This window comes from Homo sapiens, chromosome 1 (assembly GCF_000001405.40).
Source record: "Homo sapiens chromosome 1, GRCh38.p14 Primary Assembly".
NCBI classification, from domain to species: Eukaryota; Metazoa; Chordata; class Mammalia; order Primates; family Hominidae; genus Homo; species Homo sapiens.
In genome coordinates this window covers 98,956,839-98,975,746 of record NC_000001.11, presented here as the reverse complement: position 1 = coordinate 98,975,746, position 18,908 = coordinate 98,956,839, and the positions used below count along the sequence as shown (strand labels likewise).

General features: G+C 38.8%; 1 protein-coding gene across 3 annotated transcripts in view; it reads left to right on the top strand.

Annotated features, from left to right (window-relative positions):
• PLPPR5 (phospholipid phosphatase related 5) overlaps positions 1-18,908 on the top strand; it is a 115,542-nt gene that overhangs the window by 30,040 nt on the left and 66,594 nt on the right. The gene's annotated exons all lie outside the window — the stretch shown is intronic.

The window sequence follows — 18,908 nt, the reverse complement described above, 5'->3', positions numbered from 1 at the left end:
AAGTGTCCCCCTCTTCCTTGACTTTTCTTAAAGGTACAAAGTATGTTCATGTGTATGGGTCCCAGCCGACCCTTTTTCCAGGTAAATACTCCTATCAGGGGAAGCTTATGTCTGTATTTATGCATAATTGTCAGAGGCATCAGATCAGGTAGGATAGATATTGAAAGAAGTCAGTGCTTTGCAATCTCCAAATAACATGTAGGTTATATTTGTACTTCTGTTGACAACTTTATTTGTACTGCAAATATTGGCAACAAATATTCCGCTGAAACCTCAAAAGGCTTCATCTGTATGCATGGATCAGTGCTTCTCCCTGCTTCCTGTACATCTCCAAGGACATGAATCACATGCCGTGATTTCTGTCAATGGAAGAGAACAATGCAAAATCTGTTTTCCTCTGGTTCCAATTTACAAGTGTTACCACATGCCTGAATACTTTATGCAAAGAAGGGATTGGACACAAAAACCTATTATGCATCAGGACAGGGTGAGGCAGAGTCCTACTCTATAAACCAATGAGATGAATTAAGTCAGCAAGAACTAGGGTGTGGAAACATTTGAGGCACGGACGCAGTCAAGGCATAGAAGGGTAGACTCTCCTGACGATTCTCTGGGCATCTGGTCCTGCAACAGAACATGATCTCTGAAAGGAATAGTTACAAAAGAGGCTGCATCAGGGAGGTCTTGTGGGGAGCAGTGACATGTCCTCGTAGGTGGGTAGAACATAGCTCCCAGGAATCTAGGAGCAGATGGGTGTTAAGAAAACCTGTTGCTAAGTAAGAGAACAGTGCCTTAGCCACCATATAGGGTTTAGCAGCAAAACTTCACTGCCTGTAAGACAGACAGGAATCACAGTCCCAGACAGTCCCAGCCTTAGAGCAACTGAGGTGCAAAGTAAGTGATCAAAGCGAAAACTCAGGAATAGGGATCTGCTAATGGAATTCAGGTACAAAGTAGAAATTGCATTTCAGGAATAATGCATACATCTTGTTATCAAATATAGGCCAGAATATACAACCTGAATTAGCAGAGGAGACTTGATACTGAATCACAGCTTGGATTATAGCTCTATAACTTTCTCCTGCCTCAGTTCAGAGTTTTCAGAGATCAGAGAGAGTTTAGGGAGCAAGGGAAAAGAAATATATTTAAGCACCTATGACTTCGTGAAGAGAGTGGGGATGGTGGGACAGAGCTAAGAATGAAACAGGATGAAGGACCTGTGATCCATTTCAGAGTTTCTTCTATTTTCTACTCCTCACCTAATTGATTTCATCATTTAAGTCAAACCCATTGCCAGGTCATATAATGTCAGATTTGCTGTGTGTGTGGAGAATTCTTCCATTGACTTAACTAACAAAGTTTTCTGAAAGGCAAAGGCAATGTGAAAAAGTTTTGTGCTTTCATTACTGTCAAGCTTTTTCTCAGAGGTCACCAATGACAACCTCCTTGCTTGAACATTTACTTCTCTTACTTCTTTGTGACACTGAATGTGGCTGATCGAGGACCCCTGTCTTGAAAGTCTGTCCCCTCTGGTTTTCATGGCATGATAATTTTCTTCTCTACTTGCTGACACTTCTGCCCAGTGTCCTTTGTTTGCTTCTCTTTATTGCCCACTCCCCAAGTGTAAGTGATCTAAAAATGGACTTTGGAGCCTTCCTTTCCCTTTGCTCTTTTCTCCTCATTATTTGCATGTGCCCTTTTGCTTTCCCGCGGCTTTAAGCATGGTTCACTACCCGGAAAGGATTTACTACACCAGACGCTTCCTGGGCTTTCTACCTCCTCTCTCCAGTCTCCGCTGCCTTTTTCGGGATTGATTTTCCTGCAGCATAGGTCTGACCCCACCCCTCCCCTGCCCAGAAATTTTATGGCCTCCCACTGTGAACAAAATTAAGTACCGGCACCTCACTTGGATCTTAAACCATTTACATCATGGTCCCAGGATAATGTCCCATTAGGCCCCTGTATCTAGTCTGCATGCCAGCCAAGTGGGCCCACTTGCTGTTCTTCAAGTACATTCTATACTTCCCCTCCTCTGAGACTCCATTTATATTCTTCTTTGCACTATAATTGTGTCAACCCTATGTCCTGGTTTCCCTGGGTCAGTTCTGGATTATTTCTTTTGTCTTGGTATTAATATTATTAATCCTCCCATTTCACATTCAAAAATAGTAGTTTGAATGATAAATTACATGATGGCCCTACCTGTAAAGCTCTTCCACTTGTTGCTTCTCTGAGTCTTATTCCCAGTGTCCACTCTGTTTAGCTTTGCTTGTGATCAACATAACCCTGTCCTTTCAAGCCATGTGCCATGTGAAAACATCAACTTTTGTAAGACTTTCTTCCTCTCTCCCCATCCTACTGTCCCTAATTTAAGGTATTCTCTTCCTACTGTCAATCCCTACATTTACGGTATTCTCTTCCTACTGTCAATCCCTACATTTACCAACATGGCATTGCAATTATTTGTATTTATAGATAGTTATTTGTATATTTTAAATTTTATCTTCTATGGTACTTCACAGGTTCAGGGTCTTTGTAACGATTAAATTGCTTTCATCTGCAAATAACAGAAAACTCGGACTTAGATATTTAAACAATTAGGAAAATTTATTCTGTCACATAACAAGCAGTGTTAAGTTAGGATGGCTCAGAAATGACTAATTCAATATCTGAACAATAGGTCAAAGATCCAGGTGTCTCTTCTCTGTCCACTCTGCTACAGTATGTGTCTGTTCTACCCTGGGCTGACTCCCCTCGTGATTGCACAACGATTGCCCTTTTTCTAAACTTCACATCCAAACATAAGGATGTCTAGCTTTAAAAAAAGTATTCTGTGAGTCCCTTTAAAAGAAATAAACTCCTATTTCAGAAGCATCCATCCCTACCAGAAGTCTCTTCATGCTTCATTGGGCAGAATCTCACGCCATGCCCAGGCCTACACTAGCCCCAGATCAGGGCCATCAGGACCTGACAAATCATTCATCACTTGAGGCAAAAGATGGCCCTGACTCCCCTGAAGATCATAGCCATTCAGTAAGGTTGGTAACTGAACAAAATTAAGGCTGTTTGAGAAGGAAAGATAATTAACATTGATTAGGCCAACAACATTGCTACTTATAAGTTTAAGTTCAATTAATAATTATTAAATAGAGCTTTAGTTTGACTTCAGAATGTAAAGGATTTTGATTTACCTCAATATTCTAATGGTATCATAAATTATAAAAACTGATGTTAAATAGGCTTTAAACAGTATCAGTACTGCACATAACAGGTTCACTTTCATATTGTTTTACTTAAGTTCATACGGGGAGATTATAATTAAGATTTTGAAAGAAAACTTGATTGAGATTTTAATAGCCATCTAAAACTGCTGGCCAGCAAACTGTGTTCAGAATTGCTCATTAAGTAGAATTGTTTTCTGTTGCTTTTTGAGGCAATGTCTAAGTATTTGTTCATAGAATTTCAAATATATATTGCAAATTCACCATTTGGTATTGGATTGCAGAATTCTCAGATATCTGCCAGCTGTGAAATGTGACAAACAATTGGTTAAAAAATTGTGATTTTGAAATGTCTTATAGTACCAAGGGGAGCTTGGGAAGAGAGGCTGCTAAATGAGGATCCCTGCCTCTCACACCCTTTATGAATTCTTTCTTCTCATTGAGGGTTCGTTTGGGCCCAACACCACTCATGATCCTCCATAGTTAAGTCAGAGGTGGCAGCTGGAGAATGTAGCACAGAAGTTAGTATGTATTCTGCAAATGGGGGCTCATTCAAGCCTCTGAATTGTTGTCACCAGTCAGAAACACAGATGGTCCCAGTGGTGAGACCATGGGGGGAGCCTTGCCTGTTCTGTGTCAACATGAGAACTCTTAACATGAAAATATTCATCACAATGAAGGGGTCAGAAAGACTAATTCTGTTTTTGAATGAAATGGAAAGAACAGAACAGAGAGAGTCTGCTTCTAAAAATTTCACTGGGCATTGCTGCTCAGAGTTGTAGACCTTGGTGCCAGGGGGCTTGCAGCTGGCATTTTATGTTCTCAGCAACACTCATGCTAACTGCTGGGATGTGATGACTCTCAATATTTTAGCAGCCCACAATAGGACTCAGTAGAAAAGCAGAATCTAAGATTGTGCATGATTTGGACATTTGGACAAATATTCACAAGGATGAAGGGGCTGGATAGGATAGATTGCCTTACAAGTATAAAAGTCAAGGATTCCTATCTCAGAGTTCAAAAAAAATGGAAATGCTAATCTGAATCTTGAAGGGAGGGGAAATCAGATAAAAACTGAGTAAGTTATATGTGAAAGAGATAGTGTAGTCATACTTTTTTTTTTCCTTAACATTTATAATCAATAGGAAAGCTTACATACCACTTCTATGGGCTTCTGCTATGCTGTGCAACATCTGCAAATAAATATATAATCATTATTGCTTTGAGATGTAATATGAATATGTAACTCTTCTCCAAAGTTTATTTTTCATAAATGAACTTCCTGTTAATATTATCTGAAATCATGTTATTTTCTTCACCTCTCACCAAACTGCCCCATCACCAATATTTCAAAAGACATTTTGGAGTAGCAGGCTGCTTCTAAAAATAAGATGTAGTAGTCTGGGAAAACACTGCAGAAATGAACATTCCAGGCCTCATCACACTGCCCACCAATACACACTTTGTTCTCTACTCCTCGTTTGAATAAATGTCACTGTTTATTAGAGCATCTTATTGGTTTATCAAGCATTTTTTACGCTTTATGCAGAAAAGCTTATTGGAAGAAATTATACTGATAAGTGCAGAAGTTCAGATAAAAAGTTTTAACTTTTCTTCCTAAAATAAAACAAAATAATAAAATATTATAATGTCAAGTTTGACATTGAGTGATAAAGTAGGTTAATATGTATCTCATAAAGTGCTTTGACTCCATTCCTACAAAAATCTCTTATGATGAATATAATATTAAAATTGAAGTCAGACTGTCAGATCTGTCATTTACTAGCTGTGAGACCTTGGGAAAATTACTTAACCTCTTTGTGCCTCAGTTTCCTTACCTGTAAAATGAGGTAATAATATCAACCTCATAGGGGAGTTGTGAGGACCAAGTCAAGTTAATATATGTAAGATGTTTACAACAGTACTTGGCCTAGGGTAAATGCTGTTTGTCACTTTTTAAAATGACAAGGAAAGGGAATATATTTATGAATTTATATAATAAATATACATATATATTATAAACTGAAATTAAAGGCATTTGGAATAATAATCTGATTTCTAAATATATTTCCCATTGTGTATTAGAAACCCTTAAATTGGCTTGCATAATAAATTCAACCCATTCCAAGCTGTTAGAGTTTCACATTTAAATTATAATTGCACCTTTTCCTAGTACATGTGAGCAGTAAGCTGGAAAGCTGCATTTATCCCAAGCACAAATGAGACCAGACTGCAAAATGAGTTTATGTTCCAAGACTCATTCATTTATTTTTGGGTTTCAATCATGCTTTTCTTTGTGTATTCTCATCAAACATTTTTAATGGCTTGGTAAAATATAAGGATTTCCTATGTAATCAACATTTACTCTTCCTGTGAAAGTGTTTTAAAAATAAAGTCCTTCAAATGTCTAGTTCTTTTTCAGTAAAAATGAGTGGCCTTAAAAGACATTTGTTCTGGCAGTCTGTTTAAAGATGGGAGAGATGAAAGCCAAGAAACCCAGAAGAAGATGGCCTCAAGGGAATGATCTGTATGATGAATTTGAAATTGCAAGGAATACTGTTTCTGCTTTCTTAGGCAGAGCTGTCACCTCAAAAGCCTATTTTCTTGAAAAGGAGAGTGTTACTCAGAGTATCACGGTTTAGTCAATTGAATATATATTCCCTGAATGCAGTGGCAGGGCACTTACAGGTGACCACTGTACAACAGAAACATGTACTTTGGAACTGAAGACATCTCAACCATATGACAACATAGATTTTTTCTGAACTAGCAAAAAGAAAGAAAGGAAGGAAGGAAGGAGAAAAAGAGGTAGAATTTACTGTTTGCTACCAGACATTGGCAAAGAGCCACCCCACTGATTCAGGTCCCTGATAATTCTCCCCAGATACAGTTGTCAGAGACAATCTAAGGAAGTCCAGTGAGGAAAAGTATAGGTCTTCCATACTGTAAGAAAAAGAATGTCATTCTTTCTAAGCCATAGATCCAAAAGGTCAGGTAAATCCTTATATCCTCCCCTAGCCACTTCTGCTGCGCATAAATCTCAAAACTCTACTTAAATGCCTTTTTAGTTTCCTACCTGGGTTACCTTTTAGAATCATATTTTTTCTCTCCCATTGTGTGAATTAATATTTGCTCTCTTTTATTTTAAACTTCCCTCTCTTCTTTTTCTAATAACCAGGGAAGTGGTGAATGAGTTTTTCACTTTCTAAAGACAGCATTTCTCAGCTTTACTTTTGCCTTCTGAAGACCTCTAATTCTTTTCTCTGTCATATAATAGCTACACTAGACTATCTTTCCTAAATTTAAGTTTCTGTCCTCTAGAAAGGAAGACTTTTACTTTTGCGTGTTCCCTGTAGTGTTTCTGAGATGCTAGCTCTACCAGATATTTAGGATTGTCCCTGGAATATATATTTCTAAGCTCAAATAAGTTTGGAAAACACTGGACAATAAAGTTAACAATTTTCTTTAACAGATTGTCATGCTTTTGGTTCATACAGGGAAAGTAGTTGGGAGGAAACTATACTCATAAATTCAGAATTTCATACGAGAAAGCTTAAGCTACTCGGCCTTTCTTCCTAAAATGAAGCAAAATAATCAAATATTATAATGTCAAGTTGAACTCCAAAACTAGACTGCATGGGATTGGGTCTGGCTTTGTATCTTAGTAGCTAATGACCTTACACAAGTCATATAATCTCTCTGTGCCATTGTGTCCTTATCTATATGCTGAATACAATAAAATGATGCCATCATGGGGCTGCTGGAAATTATGAATCTTTTTACATTTTTTAAATTTTTTTTTCACTTTTATGGGTACATAGTAGATTTATATATTTATGGGGTACATGAAGTATTTTGATACAGGCATACAGTGCCAAGTAATATAATTTATAAATGTTGATGAACAAGTAAGGTTTTAGCTGATGTTTTTTCACCAGAATTTTTTTTCCTAGAAAATATCACTTAACATCCTGCTACATAAATATTATTTGAGAAACATTGACCTAGGGACAGTTAAATTTTGCTTGTGCTTAAAAGGTTTATTTCTAAAATCTCCATCATCTTTAAGTCCCAGAGAGTATTTAAATTTTATCATATTGCTTTTTTGTTGTTGATAAAGAAGAGGGGAAAATGATTCTAATGGGTATTTTAGAAAAACTGGAAAGCTTACTAATAACCCACATACTAATTTTTTATTAATTATAAGCTCGCTCTTTTGAGGAATGATAGGTACATTATAACAGTACTGGCCAACAGTAGATCTGTGAACATGGAGACATTGACTTTATATATTAAAATTAAAAACAAACTATAAGTATATAACATGAGTGTATTCATTTTCCTTAGAGCTTATGTTTGCTACCTTTATGTGAGTGGTTTGGCAAAGCATAAACATCATGTAAAGTTTAATCAGCAGCATTTGTTTTTGCTAGGGAAGTGTTTGTTAATGGTTTCACCAGCTTTTTGTCATTTAAAAAGAATGCTCGTAGCTTGTGAATCTTGGTGTTCTTGTTCAGCAAACTGAATCTCCTTTTTCTGTATCTTCCCACTGACCCTCATCTACATGTGCAGTGAAAGATTAGTGTCAGGACTTTTACTTTATCCCAAATGATCAAACAACTCTATTACCCTATTCTAGGCATCCCAGACTCCTTTACTCCCTTACCAAAAACACTAATCCATCGCAGATACGACTTAGAAAGAGCCTTCAGGGCTACCTAATAATGACTAAAATTTACGTAGTGCTTACTCTGTGCCAGCCCCTTTACTATGAATGTTATAACAATAACCTCATTTCTATGAATGTTATAACAATAACCTCACAACAGCCCCATGATGGCATTATTTCTATTGTTTCCATTTTGTATGATAACATTGAGGTGAAGGGAAGTTATATGACTTAATTAATTAATTAATTAAGATCATTCAGCTAATAAGAGGCTGAAAAAGATTGGATAACTTTCTGCCAGATTGTTTCAAAAAGGGGCACTGAGTTTCTTTTTGTGCAAGTTTTGGTGAGTTGCACACTCAGTTGTCAGTTATCACTTACCCCTAATCTCATCCCTTCTTCATTTATTTACTAGTATTTTTACATGTGTCTGTACTGGCACATGCATGCATAAATAAGTGCAAGCTAAGTTGTAAGTTTCTTTGATGGCCTCCCCATTTTAAACATAGTGAGCCATGCAGTAGACTCGCAGAGGATGTGAGTGGCCTTCCTGGGTGCTGAGCATTGGTTAAGTGAGCCATCCTTCTCAGGACAGTTCATCTCTTCATATTTCACTTAAAATATCTAGAAAGTGAGAGTGTTGGATTTGTTTTTACTTTAGGATTTATTTAACCTCTCTTTCTATAGTCCCATCCTTTTATTGCAATACCTAGAATAGCTCTTTGCACAGTACAAGTACATAATAATTATTTGTTTGAATCAGTATCTAAAAATCCCTTTTAACATAATCTTGACAAATTTACAATGTAATAAAAAGGAGTTTTAGACACCTTGAAATATCTTATAGAGCTTAGAGAACTTGTTGAAACACAGATGGCCAGACCCCCACCCCCAGAGTTCTTGAGTCAGTAGGGGTGGGGCCCGAGAATGTGCATTTCTGTCAAGTTCCCAGATTGCTGATACTGTTGGTTCAGGGACCACATTTGAGAGCTACTGTCTGTAGAGCTCTCAAAATAGACATATATCTTTCCCAGTTGAAAAGTGAGTTAATAAGCTCATCCCACCCAGTGGGTGGGATGGCAGCTTCATGTGTTTCTTATCCTCTGGTATCTGCATTTTAACAGGGGTCTCCTAAAGACTGCGAATCTTAACTCAAAGGTTCAGATCCGCAACTCAAAGGATCAAATCCAATTCTTGACCTCATATCCTTCCATCAAAGCGGCCTTTGTCCCTCCACTTCCCTTAACTGTCCTCTCCCCAGAATATTAGGGCTTCCTGGTTGCCACATCCCCACAATTATAACCACGGCTAGTAACATATATAGGTTACTTTATTCTTTATTTTCTTCTTCTGTAACTGGATTTTAATAATAGCATCTACCTCATCAGATTGCTTTGAAAATTAAATTGGCCAATATTTGGAAAGCACTTAGAACAGTGCCTAAAACCTAAGCCCTATTTACATGAACAGTGTAAATGAGCTTTTATTATATGTTAAATGTTTCCCAAATTTTCCTCTCAGGACATCACCTTCATGACTTAAATCATAGCTGCATACCAACTCAGCTAGCATTCATTTTTTCTTGAAATCAGTTCACTTTACTAACAAATTATTATAAAAGAATACATTCTATTATTACTACAAATGGAAAACCAGTATCACTTGGTAAGTAGAAGGGAACCATAAAATAAATACAAAAAAGCCTACATTGTTTTAAAAATTCTAGCCAGGCATTGTTTTCTGGAAAAGACCCTGAGACTGATACTTGCTCTCTCTCTTTTTAAAAACAGGGAAATTAGCAAGTTCCAGTTTCTGTAACAAATAAAACCCCACATTTCACTGGATTCACACATTCAGAGTTTAAAGTTTAGGTGTGTCCCATGACTGTACTTCTGTGGATTCATTTTGCTTTTTGGATATTATTTCACACATCTCTGAAGGATGTGAAACACATGCCAAATACTATCACACTGATTACATAACTTCTGTTTCACTGCATTACATCTGAAATGGTTTTCTTGTACCAATTTCAAATCAATGATGCATGGATATCTTTGAGTTACCACCAGTTAGAGGGGAGAGGAATTTCTAATTGTGTGCTTATAAATGAAAACATAGAGCTATTTGGAGTTTGACATTTGATGAAAATCTACAGCGATTTTCTCTTCCTAGTAAAACTTCAGTATTTTGTCATCAAGGACTGTAGATCACAAAGTTGGACTATGCATAACAAAGGTTGAGGTATGAGAACAAAGTGATGTGCACATCCTGGAGACATTTATGATTCACACCTGCATTCTTGTAGGTTGCTATTCATCAGCAGAATGGGGCTTTTTACTCATTACCAAAGACGGTAATTGATTAAAATAAAAAAAAGGGCTAGATACCAGACCTGTCCTCAAAGACATGATGGAGACTTAGTTGCGTCATTAGGAAGGAGCAGACAGTGTGTAGATCCAGCTTGTTAGGCAGGGCAAGATTCGAGGAGCTTCATAGTGTTCAACACTGGGATTAATAAAGCATAATGTAATGTCCAGCAAGGGGATGAGGTGTAATAAGGAATGTGATACTCAAGTTTGAGAAGGTCTGTCAGTGGGGTGCAAGGCTTCTATCAGGTTGGGGTTCAGGAGCAGATCTCTTCCTCCCAATGAGGTAAACTGTCAGATTGCAATAGGGAGGGGACTGTGACTAAGAAACACCACAATTGCTCAGACCCAGCTCTGAGTGCATAGATAAAGTAGTGAGGCCAGGTGCAGTGGTTCATGCCTGTAATCCCAGCACTTTGGGAGGCTGAGGCGGGCGGACTGCATAAGCCCAAGAATTCAAGACCAGCCTGGGCAACATGATGAAATCCCATCTCTACCAAAAAAAAAAAAAAAAAAATCAAAAATTAACTGGGCATGGTTGCACATGCCTGTAGTCTCATCTACTCAGGAGGCTGAGGCAGGAGGATTGAGTCCAGGAGGTCGAGGCTGCAGTGAGCTGTGATTGCACCATGGCACTCCACCCTGGGCAACAGAACAAGATCCTGCTTCCAAAATAAATAAATAAAGCAGTGAAAGCCCTTCAGTATTAGTTTCTGAGCCCTTGGTGGGCATCTCATCACATTCTATATCAGATTGATAAGGACTATGAACAGTCACTAATCTTCCTTGGAGGTTGTTTGAGGGCTTCCTGTACAACTGGGAACAGACAGGTGCTTTGCCTCTCTTGGCAGAGTAGGAGTAGGGATGGGTTGAGTTTAGTGAGCCCAGATGAGGGGAGCTGGAAGGCAGATGTAAGAGAAACGAGGTAAGGGTTGACAGCTCTGCACTTACTGTGCCAGCCTGCCCTCTGTCTACCAGCAGAGTCCTTTTTTCCCTCCTTTTTCTTTCATGTCCCAAGCAATGGAGAGTTTTTGCTGAGGTGGGGGAGGAGTACCTCCGTGAAAGGCTGATCCATGGGAGGCCCGTTGATCCTTCCCACTGGGACCACAGGTGTCCTTCCCAAGGTTCTGCTTCTTTCTCCTCCTCTATAGACAGCTGGTGCCTGTGGGAGGCAGGAGGGGCCCTGCTGCTTCTCAGTCGATCTCAGTTAACACTGTTCATCATCTCAACTCTGTCTAGAAACAGCTTTCATTGGTTGGTTCACAGAAGAAAGGAAGTTTTATCAAAGAAAACTGTGAAGTGACAAAGCTTTTAGCATCTCCATCTCTGGCTTCTGTGACCTGGAAATCTCATATTTTCCACTCCCAGCGGGGAAAGCAAACCAGTTATGCTCGTTGCCCCAGGGATGCTTTGGGAATCTAGTGAAAATGGTAGCGCGTGATTCCAGAATTAAGAACCCCTTCTTGATAAAGGTGAGAAAACGACCAAAACACCAGATCCTCAATGGCACCTAAGAACCAAGGATATGCAAAGAAGACATGAAGACATTTCAGTGAAAAGAGTGTCTCAAAAAATTGCAATGGAGTTAGAAAGGGTGATGTGAATGTTTTTGGTATTTGTTGGAAGACTGGCTTGTGTGTTAATAGGATCAGGAAAATCTTTTTTTCTATACTCGGCTTTCTTATACCTGGACAGCAGAGGAGTCCAGAGGTCCTTATGAGGTGCTTTGTGCCCTATCTCCTATCTTTTGAAACTGTAGAGATGCTAGGAATGTGGTAGGACTCCAGGGTGTGACCTGTAAGTGGGCAGCAGGGACTGACCTATCTTAACTTGGAAAAGCTGGAGGAGAGGCTCACAAGTTCCCAGGCAGAGGCTGTGGTCAAAATAAAACTCTGAACTTGGATTCAGACTCTGGCTGTGCCGGTTACCATGTGACTCAGGCATGTTCAATCTCTCTCTCTCTCTGTCTCTCTCTGGAGGTTTCCTTATCTATGGAGATGGGAAGATTGAACTGCATTCTCTTCATTCATACAGTATTCATATTTATTGTCAGTCACTGTGCTATAATAGTAGAAGTTTAAAGATAAATGTTATGCAATCCTTACCTCAGAGAGGCTCTCAACTGAGTGGAAGACACAGATGTTACTGATACTTATAAACGCATATGCAAATTATCATAATAAATGTACAACGTGCCATTGGAACACAGAGAAGGGAATGATGAACTGCACCAGGAATAGAATAAAGTTGCAATAGAATAGGCAATATGTAAATCATGTCTCAAGCACAGAACCATGCACTGCCTACCAAGATATACTAAGCCATGGACCAAGCATAAAAACCTGGATGTATGGAAATACTGGATATGTTGGAGAATGAAAATGCTTAGCTGTGACTAGAGCACAGAGTGTCTGAAGGCTATGTAGGAATTGCTGAAGCTGTAAAAGATAGGTTTAGGCTCAGCAGTAAATGATCTCTTATGAAATTTTAGTTAATCCACAAGCTATGAGGACACACTGAAAATTGTAAATAGAAAATGTGGGGCTGGGTGTGGTGGCTCATGCCTGTAATCCCAGTGCTTTGGGAGGGTCGCTTCAGGCCAGGAGTTCAAGACCGGCAACATAGCAAGACCTGATCTCTCTACAAAAACTAAAAATAAAAAATAAAAGAAATTAATTGGGCATGGTGGCACATGCCTCTAGTAGTTAGTCTTAGCTACCCAGGAGGCTGAGGTGGGAGGATGGCTTGAGTCCAGGAATTTAAGGTTGCAGTGAGCCATAACTGCACCCCTGCACTCCAGCCTGGGTGACAGAGGGAGACCCTGTCTCCAGAAAAAGAAAAGAAAATTTGGATTATACAAAATTTGCTTTCAATAAACCAATCTGACAGTAACAGTTTGAAGAGCAGAGAAAATGGAAGCACAAAGGCAAGTTCTGAGTATGCTTTAATGCAGGAAAAAAGTGAAGAGGGACTGGATTTTAAAATGGAGGTAGTGATAAAAGTGGTCTTATTTGAAATAGAATTAAGATATATAATCAACAGGATTTAGCAATTGATGGAGATTCAGTTAGAAGGAATAAGATCTCTTGTGCAACATGGTGACTATAGTTAATAAGAATGTAGTGTATACTTAAAAATTGTTAACAGAGTAGATTCTAAGTGTTTTCACCACAAAAAATGCTAATTATGTGAGGTAATGCATATGTTAAATAGCTTGATTTAACCATTACATAATTCACATATTTCACAACATTATGTTGCACACCATAAATATATATAATTTTGTGTCAATTAAAAATAATATAAATAAAAGCAATTGATGAAAAGAGACAAATGAAGGAACTGGAGGTGTCAGCATGATATGTAAATGTATGAGAGTTTTAGCTTGAGTCCAAGTAGAAATTGAATGGATTAATTGAGATGGTGACACAGAAGAGCAGGAGGAACACATGGATTTTATTTTGGATGTAAAGGCTGTGTGGCCTTCCAATAGGTAGATATGAGCATGTTGAGATGTCACTGTTTAATAGGTGGATGGAGACCTGCATCTGGGGTTTAGGGGAAATATGCAGATTTAGGATTCCTTAGTGGAGCAGGGGATGGTAAAGTCTTAGGAGGAATGAAGTCCACCAGGGAGAGCTTCTGTCAGGAAAAGAGAGCCAAAATAAAATGCCAGATAATATAGAACTTAGGTCTGTAACTCACTGACGAGAGCCTCTGATTCAAAATCAAGAGGAAAAAGAGAAATATATACCTTAGAGTCAATATGACCTGGTATTAAATTAGCCATAAGGACAGACATATAGGGCAGTAGAAAATGAAAATTCCCTACTTTGTGCCTAGTACTGTGCTAAGCTTAGGAAGAAAGAATAGATATGAATATCAATTATTAATGGAAATATAAACTGCATACAATTACATATATATTAGACTGTTTACTAATGCCATTGGCTTTAATAGCGACATTGCTATTGTTAATGATGCTCTTGTTGCCAATAATTTTTTCAACAGTTATGACAGTGGTTAACATTTACCAAGTGCTACCTACTGTGCCTCTGCCTTCAAGGCAAACTCAATCTACTTTAGCCTCTGTTGAGGTCAAGCTGAGAGCTAATAGGAAAAAGGTTACCTCCTCCTCTCCAAATGCGTTCTAGTTGGAGTTGTTTTTGAATTCTGTATATTTATCTAATAACAAGCTTTAAGTGTAGTAAGGATTGCACCCTATCTTTGATGCTGTGTATGTTTATATTCTCCTAGAAGCAATTATCAAGTGAGATTAGAAGTACAAGAGTTGTTAGAAAAAACATCTGTGAAAAACAGAAGTTGAGGGGTAAGCCAGAGACAGCAAGGAGAGCCTTCAGACTGTGATGGAGGTCTGTCCCCTGTGCGTGAGAGGGAGAAAGAAGGAAGACTGGGTGGGAAACACTTCAGACTAGGTTAGGTAGTCTCATTGGGGTAGTGGGATTGTATAGGAAACATGGCTCCAACAAGGATTTGGTCAGGCTCATGGAGAATCTTTGAACCAAAATTGCAAATTGGAGGTATCCCATGTTTCAGAAGATTAGGTTCACTCCCACCATGCTTAGTCATTGGCTAGGAGGAGCCTGTAGAAGTGTGGCCTCAGCATGGATACAGTATTGGATCCAGAGGAGCGCAGCAGCCGGGGCCATCTGTGTGTAAACATCTCTGCAGTGGGAGATTTGAGTGATGTGTTTCATTGCCACCACAGATTCTCTCAGTGACTCAGTGACACTTCTTCCTAAGTGTTCTCCTAGCATGTATTGTCCAAACCAGTCAAATAAAGCTCAGCCTATGCAACCTTGTAGCATTATTAATCAATTTGCTTGTGTCTACCCTGTTAGATTATAAACCTTTCTTCAAACATTAGTGTCTAGCACTGTGCCCTTAACTCAGAAGGCATTTACATAAATACATTCATCATAATTATAATTATTTTATTTTCATTATTTGAATTTATCTGAGAGCAGGCTGGGCACGGTAGCTCGTGCCTGTAATCCTAGCACGTCGGGAGGCAGACGCGGGTGGATCACCTGAGGTGAGGAATTCGAGACCAGCCTGGCCAACATGGTGAAACCCCATCTCTACTAAAAATACAAAAATTAACCTGGTGTGGTGGCATGTGCCTATAGTCCCACCTACTTGGGAGGCTGAGACAGGAGAATTGCTTGAACCTGGAAGGAGGAGGTTGCAGTGAGCCAAGAGTGCGCCACTGCACTCCAGCCTGGGTGACAGAGTGAGACTTCATCTCAAAATAATAATAATAATTATTATTATTATCTGAGAGCAGTAAACAATTGGAGTTTTAACTCAGGAAGTTGGGTGGGGGAAGTTAAGAGAGAATATGGTTTTGATGAGGGGTTCCATGGATATCACAGTGAGCTGTGGGGGAAACAGAACTAGGGTGTGTGAATTAGACATACCCTTGGAGGAAAGCAGACACCTAGGCATATGCATTTGATGAGATGAAGTCCAAGTAGGTGGACAGAATACAGTATCCAGAGAACATGCTGGAAAGAGCTAGTCTAGACCAAGAACTGGCCGGAGGGTCCAGCAAGATGTGATGGACAGGCATTTGACATCGGCGTCTAATGACAGCAACTCTCTGTTTGAAAACTACCTTCTCTACCCACAGTGACATTTTCATGTACCATAACATACCTTCTTAACCTTGGCTCATCGGACTGAGGGAGATGCCTTATCTCAACCTAAACCTCCTGGGAATTTGGAATTGAGGTTTGGAAAATCTTATCAGTTGAACTGTTTCCTTGGACCGAGCTGACAAATTCAAGATAAGCTTCTTGAAGACAACTGGGGAAATCATGTATGCTCGGAATCAGGAGCACTGGCTGGCAGAAAGGCATACAAAGAGAAACTGAGATGAAAGACAGTATGACTCCAGGGAAAGAGGGAGAATGAAATGGTGACAGCTGTTGCCTGGATTCCTGAGGACTTTCCATTCATGGGCCTAATCCCCAAGCTCCCTGCCCTTCAATTCTGAGGAAACTAACTGTAGAATAAACTTACTATTTTAGTTAACATAGTTCAAGTGGGTTTCTTATAGTAGCAGCCAAATGACAGTGACTGAGAAACTGTTCTGGCAGAAATGCTCAGGACACAAATCGGAAATTCCGCAAGGTGAAATGTGCTGAGATGCAGGCAAGCAAGAGGTCAGCATTAGAAAGCCACTGGGAAGAGAGCCCCGGGAAAAGTGGCCCCAGCAAGGCAGTTCTTGGTCTGTTAAGACCCTGGTAACTAAAAAGAATTATCAAGTCAGGGACTTCATATACAGGCTCCAGTTTTAGGAACTAGGTACAGGATAGATCCTTCATCATAGGAACAAGCCAGAAGTTGGTTTTTAGAAGTCAGGCAAAAGATTAATAGCAGACTAGGACATTCTGATCTATTGAAGCTGACGGTTTTTTGAAAATGTGATTCCTTTATGCATTAAATAAGAATTATTGGGTACCTACTACATTCTAGGGAGTTTAGCATGGTAGCCTGAGTTGGGGTGCAGTGTACCATGGGTTGGGGCCTGCCAGGGGATGGAGACCCCGTGGAAGCTGCAGTGGAGAAGAGGAGGCTGAGAGGGCAGCCATCATGTGCAGAGCCGGTCAGCTCATGAAGTGGAGTGGATGATGCATTGTTAGAATTTGAAACATTCTGTGGTAAAACAGACCCAGAAGAAGTTGAATCTGAAAACCCAGAAAGCATCATCATGGTAATCTCTTTCAAGGTGCACTGAAGAGGAGGTAGGACATGAGAAAAACGTTATTCAGAAAGAGAGATAAGGTATCAAACACACAGTTCATCTACTTATCAGATTCTCCAGATACTCATGAAAAATAATTCTTGTGCATCCTTTGGCTGGATGAACTGTTTCATCACACATCCGCTCTACTTCACCAATGCCAGAGTTAAAATTCAGGAGGAAGTTGGAAGTTCTTATCTCTCCCAACTCAATCCACTCTCACCAAATAGGCAAGACTAGTCTCTTTTAATTTAGTTCCACTCAATGTCTTCTGATTTAACATTGAACCCTGGCTTACTTGAAAAAAAAGTATAGTTAAAAAAAGAAAGAGGAAAAGGGGGTAGAAAGAAGGATGAAAGTGAAGAGGTATCTCATAATCTTTTATTCACACTGGGGTAAAAGTAGGTCAAACACCTAATCTCCTGTAACCTCCTTCTCTACCTCACACTTTCTATTTTGAATATCTTGTAATCATAGATACTACTTTTCATAGAGATCCCAAAAGCATTTCCCCAGGGAATGTCAGGGACTCCCTGTATAGCATGTTAATTAAGCTTGACAAGACATAATAAAAGCAAACTTCACAATGACAAATTAGTAGACACACTGTTAGCTCCAGTTTCTTTTAATCTTATTTCTCATGCTGTTGTTCATAGTATTAGAGAGAAATTTCTTCTTGGCTTCTGACTGGCCTTAAAAAGAACACATTATTTAACTTCCCTAAATCTCCATTTCCTCATTTGTAAAATGGAATATTAATACTTCCTGTAATACCTTACTAGGTGATTTTGAGGACCATGTATAAAAATCACTACCAATGGTACAAATATGGTTGTAAGATAGCCAGGTCCTTTAATAAGTCAACAGAGTAGAGCAAAGCATCTGTAACAGAACCTTGTTCTTGGGCAACTCACTTGTGTTCCAAGTCTTGGTGTTTCTTTACTTGTAAAAGGGTAGGATGCTATTCCTAGTTTCATATGGTTTTAATGAAGATCAAAATAACATTTATACTAAAGTATAAGTAGTATATTATGACAATTCCTAGTAATGTCTCAGAACAGGAGGCTCTCAAAGTCAAAGGTGTGCAGATTTATTTTTTCTTATTTATAAAAGTATTAATATGATTTTAAATTAGTATGTGTGTATCAGATGCCTTAAAAATATTTGCATGGAGAATCTGTTGTGAATTCTGTAGCAGAGTCAAAATTAAATAAGACACAGTAACTTAAAAAAATAAAACATGGAATTTAATTACACATAAAAATAAATGAGTGCTTCCTTACATATCTTTTGTATATTTTATTTTTTTAATTAAGACTTTTAGGAAACAAAAATGTTGTCTATTTTTGTTCATAATTTTTCTTTTTATTTATTTATTTATTATTATTATACTTTAAGTTTTAGGGCACATGTGCACAATGTGCAGGTTAGTTACATATGTATACATGTGCCATGCTGGTGCGCTGCTCCCACTAACTCGTCATCTAGCATTAGGTATATCTCCCAATGCTATCCCTCCCCCCTCCCCCAACCCCACAACAGTCCCCAGAGTGTGATGTTCCCCTTCCTGTGTCCATGTGTTCTCATTGTTCACTTCCCACCTATGAGTGAGAATATGTGGTGTTTGGTTTTTTGTTCTTGCGATAGTTTACTGAGAATGATGATTTCCAATTTCATCCATGTCCCTACAAAGGACATGAACTCATCATTTTTTATGGCTGCATAGTATTCCATGGTGTATATGTGCCACATTTTCTTAATCCAGTCTATCATTGTTGGACATTTGGGTTGAGAAAAATATGGTTTACATACATACGGACAAGGCTATAATCAAAGGATCTAGGAAATCGATTATGGCTCTGTTTTACATTGAGATTATTACC